We start from the raw sequence: 5537 nt of genomic DNA on the forward strand, positions 1-5537 counted from the left end.
TGCCTTCAATCACCTTTTATTCTACTATGAGTAGAGAGACAATGGACAGGCCAGCAAATACTCAGTCAGGATAATTGTAGATGGTGGGAAGTGTGGTGGAGAAAATAAAAAGGGTAATGTGATAGGGACCGCACATTTGGGAGGGCGGCTGGGAAACTCTCTGGGAAGCAGTGCTTGAGAGGGAATGAATGAGAGTCGGCCATGCAGACAGCAGGGCAGCCTGGCGATGGGGAGAGAGGTTCAGGCCCGGTGGGAACAACTACAAAGATCATATGGTGGGCAGAGCGCTGTGCATTTCTAGTAGGCACATCCAAAGATGACAACGACTGGTCAACTGTTTCCAGGTATCATTTGTTTTAGCTACATAGTGATCTAGGAGTTAAGAAAAAATCACTTAGGCGGACAGAAAGGGTAGGGGAGTCCTTGGTAAGGCCTTTGTTTTCAATGAAAAGCAGCCCCACATCATATTCTATCAAGGAGCAGCCTGTAAAGTTGAGCTGCAGACATAGACTAGCCACCTGGGAGCTTGCATGGTGAATACTGGCAGGAACTAGGGACTAGACATGTTCAAGATGGGCTCCATCTTCCCTTCTCTTTGTCAACCACCTGTACTGTAAGGAGCAAACAAAATGGCACTGATCAACTGGAAAGGCCATTTGCATAATAAGATTGGGGTAGGGCAACCAGCCTTCCCGCTCACTATGTACACGTTATACGTGATGGAACCAATCCCTGAGCCCTATGGAAATCAGACCCTGCCTCCTCAAACCTGATGATAAAATTGGGCGCATCAGCCACCCGTCCCCTCAAAGGCCCCTCTCTCTGTGGAGAGAGCTGTTTTCTCTTTCTCTTTTCTTCTGCCTTTTAAAGCTCCACTCCTAAACTCCTCGTGTGTGTCCATGTCCCAAATTTTCCTGGCACGCAACAAGGAACCCCAGGGTATATACCCCAGACAATGTAGCCGCTTCAGTCGCATATCTTAATCCCCTAAGAACTCCCAATATCCCCATTTTACAGGAGAGGAAACCAATGGCCAGAAAGATGCAGCTTTCCAAGATCACCCAGGAAATAAAGGATGGAGCTAAGAGTGGGTCACTTCCTGACTCAATTTATGCTACCTTGTCTCAGAAGAGGATGCCTCTGAGGCGGGCATGTAGTTGCCCCTGCAGGACCAAGACAATGGGGCCAGCTGGATTCCACTTTATACAACCAATATGGTCTGTGTCTGTTTGGATTTCTATCTCAGAATGCAATAGACAAAGTGGCTTATAAGCAATGAAGGATTTATTTCTCACAGTTGTGGAGGTGAAGGAGTCCAAGGTCAAGGTGCAGGGAGATTTGGCATCTGGTGAGGGCTACTGTCCGGGCTTCTGGATGGCGCCTTCTCACTGTGGCCTCCCGTGGCTGAAGGGGACAGGAGCCCTCTCCTTTATAAGGGCAATAAGCCCTTCCTGGCCTAATCGCCTTCCAAAGGCCGTGCCTCCTAATACTGTCTTCCTGGGGATTAGAGTTTTAACATGAATTTGGGAGGGACTTAACCATTCAGTCCAGAGCGGATATTATGTCCCAGAATCCTCTAGCTGTGATGGAGCCACGCCGACCTCTGTGGTCTCCGCACCTCCGCAGTGCAGGCCAGGCGTCTTCTGACTCAGCTCCAGCCGCAGAGCCCTGCTGCTCTCACAAACAGCCCTGCTGTCTGCGACCGTAAAAGCACAGCCTCCAACTGGGGAGAGTGCGAGGGACGTTTTCACAGGTACACCGTTTTAGTCATAATTTATTATGCTTTTGATTATGAAGATATTTGAATGGCTCAAACCATGATGCCAAGGAAGGAATAACATGTAAAATACATTTACTCGATGTCATGCTCTGAAATCCCTCAAGCTCCTACACAGAAAAAATAAATTATACTTGTGAATAAAGCCTGTGGTAGGAGGAGGTGCTGTTTCCAATCTGTCACGGTTCCAGCTCCTCAGGCCTTGCAGTCTCAACAGCACCGACCCCAGTAGCTGCCTCCTGTGGACTCTTGACTTGCCACAAAAGCTGATTTTTTTCCCAATTAAATCTTCAAGGTTTGCTGATGATTTATTGATGTAACAATCATACATTGTGGTGCCTTATAAATACACAGTATCGTAATAGCAAACATAGGTGCCAAGTCAAATGAGACATGTCCCTGAGCTCAAGAAGCTCACGGGTGTGATGGTGGAAAGAAGAGGCTTATCGTGGCAGATGGTAGCATAAAAGGAAACTCATAGGGGGCGACGGTGGTAGAAAAAGAGGCTCATGGGGTGGGTTTTAATGAGTGTCCTGACAACAGAAGCGCCAGGAGTCATGAAGATCTAGGATTGCAGGAAGCCCCCTGCACTGCATGACCTCACTTTTCTCTTCTTTCTTTTTTTGTAGGTAGGGGGTCTTGTTTTGCCGCCCAGGCTGGGGTGCAGTAGCGTGATGATGGCTCACTGCAGCCTGGGACTCCTGGGCTGAAATGATCCTCCCACCTCAGCCTCCCAAGCAGGTGGGACCACAGGCACGTACCACCACATCCAGCTAATCTTTTATTTATTTTTTGGAGTGACGACATCACACTGTGTTGCCCAGGCTGGTCTGCAATTCCTGGCCTCAAGTGATCCTCCTGCCTTGGCTTCCCAACATGCTGGAATTACAGGCGTGACCCACTGCATCCAGCATCACCTCGCTTCTCTATGTTAACCTGTGGCAGTCTGATACCCGCTCCCAGGCCGCCCCCAGGTCTGTTCTTGGTGAGCCAAGCTGCCTGAATGAGTGATCATTTGGGTCATCAGGAACTTGACCATATTGCCTGTCAGTTTTGTTTCAACGGCTTTTCATGTTTCAGTTCTTTTGCAGGCCCCCTCCTTTTCGAAGATCTTTCTTTCCATGCTTTTGCCTGACTTCATGGCTCCTCGCTCCCCGCATCACGCCGTGGTGGTGCCTGGATGCGTGACGATGTACTGACCACATTCTGCGGCAATCACTGTTCGTGAAGCTGCCTCCCCTCCTAGACTGAAAACTCTTCGAAGATGGGACCATATGGTTTCTATCACCAAAACCAACATAATAGCAAAGAGTAGGCATTTGATAAGTGTTTATAAAAGGAAAATACACAAATAATACCTGTCTACCCAAATAAGTGATTGTATTTTTCCGGATGCATATGATCAAAACCCACAAGTGTCTGTGCTTTGTAACCCTGTCCCCAAGCCCTGCGCTCAACAATACAGCTAACACAACTTACTGCATTTGAGTGTAAAGGTTAGTGTATAGCCCTAGGAAAGCATTTTCACCCACAGTATGAGTGGTGCATATTCACATGCACTGTGACAGCTCCATGCATGTTATCACCCTGAAGACCTTCCAGTGGGACAATATGTGGAGGTGGAAGGCAGTGCTATTGATGGTCCCGACCCTGTGTAGGCCTAGGCTAGTGTAGGTGTTTGTGACTTTGTTTATGATGAGCTAGTTTACAGAGTCAAAAAAAAAATTAAATACAAAAAGGCTGAAAGAATAAAGATATAAAGAAAGAAAATATTTTTGTACAGCTGTACAATGTGTTTGCATTTTAAGCTAAGTGTAATTACGAGTCATTTTTGTAATTAAAAAGTTTGACATTACAGTAAGCAAAGGTTAATCATTATTGAAGAAAGAAAAAGTATTTCTTATAAATTTAGTGTAGCATGAGTGTCTAGTGTTTATAAAGGGGTGTACAATAGCGTCCCAGGCCTCCACATCCACTCGCCATTCACTCAGAGACTCACCCCAGCAACTTCCAGTCCTGCTAGCTCCATTCGTGGTTAAGCGCCCTATAGAAGTGTACCATTTTCCACTTTTTATACCATGTTTTTACTGTACCTTTTCTCTGTTTATTATGTTTAGATACATAAATACGTACCATTGTGTTCCAGCTGCCTGCAGTGTTCAGTAGCGTCCCCTGCTGGGCAGGTGTGTATCCCGGGAGCAACAGGCTGTACCATGTGGCCCGGGTGTGGAGGAGGCTGCGCCGTCTGGGTTTGTATGAGTGCACTCTATGATGTTCACACAGTGGCAAAATCACCTAAGGATGCATTTCTCAGAACGTATTCCCTTCATTAAGTGACACGTGACTGTACGTATAATTGGATTATTCTAGAGGTGACTAAAATTACTATTTGGAAATGTTAATTAAGCAACACATGTGACAAATATATACCAAGATTTCTGTGAAATTCAGCCCTCCGTGGCTGAGGTCCGCAATACACAGCCGTCTCTAAGCACCTGGCTTGAGAGTTCCCGCAAAGCAGTAGCCTTGGCTTTGGCCTCTGTGTACCCTATCGCCCTGCACAGTTTCTGATACGTTGAAGGCTTCCAGTAAAGGAAACACTAACACTTAATAGTATGGATGAGGAATCCAGAGTTCTTTGTTTATTTACAGTTTTAAACAATGAAGTCCACAAAAACTAAAAGAGTAAGAGGCTGCCTGTTTATTAAAAGCAGCATTCTATTAGGAAAGCATGTATGTACTGCTGCTGGTGCCTTTGCAGACTTTGAGTGTGTGTGTGCGTGTGTGTGTCAAACTGTGGGAGTCAACTGCAGCACAGAAATCACCACCCAGAGGGGGCTTCTCCAAGTGCGCAAGCTCAGCAGAGGAAGCCTCAGCCCTGCGGAAGCTCAGGGAGGGTGAGGATGGAGGCTGGGAGATATTTCCTCACAGCTCCTCTTGTGCCTTCTCTCTCTTCCCTCCCTACTTGACCCTGCCCACTCCTTCAGTCCCTCATTGTAACCCACTGTCTTTTCAAAGGTACATCATTCTTACATTTGGATTTTAAAATGTGTGACGAAAGCTAGAATGCAACCCAGGAGCAGGAGCTCTGCACTAACAGGAGAGGGCTCCTTCTGGTTTCCATGTTCCACACACCTTTTTCATTAGGCCAAAAGTCACCAAGGGTGCAATGGGAGCTGGACTATGCTGTCCCCTTTGACAACATGATTTCACAGAGTGCTTCCTGCGCCGATGCAGAGAACTGTCGCCAGATTCGTGAGCAATAATGGTATGAACAGCCATTAATTAGAGAGGGAGATTAGCTTAAACAAAAGGGGATTGAATTTAGACCCACTCATTATCTTTTCCATTGTTAGCTCTATTGAACTCCATTGTGGTCGGGATAAGAACAAGAGAAATGGGGATTGTGTGGAGTATGAATCAATTAACACATATATGCCTGCTGTGTGCACACATTGCCCTTTAAGAGATAAAGAAAAATGAGACATGATGGTATAGAACATACACACACAGAGGTAAAGACGAAAAAGACAGACTCAGATTCCACCTTTTTCTTTCTTGATTATGGAACCTTGTTTTTTCTCTATACTTAGCTGTAGCCCCTCTCCTCCTCTCAAACATAGAGTTCTACATAGAAACTTTTTCTTCTGCCGTAAAATCAGTAAGCTCTCTTGGGACAGTTTGCAAAGTATTAGATTTTACTCAATTAGAATTGTTCGCATAGGGCATGGCAGAGTGGTTCTCATTCCTATCAGACCAA

Source organism: Homo sapiens, chromosome 4 (genome assembly GCF_000001405.40).
Source record: "Homo sapiens chromosome 4, GRCh38.p14 Primary Assembly".
NCBI classification, from domain to species: domain Eukaryota; kingdom Metazoa; phylum Chordata; class Mammalia; order Primates; family Hominidae; genus Homo; species Homo sapiens.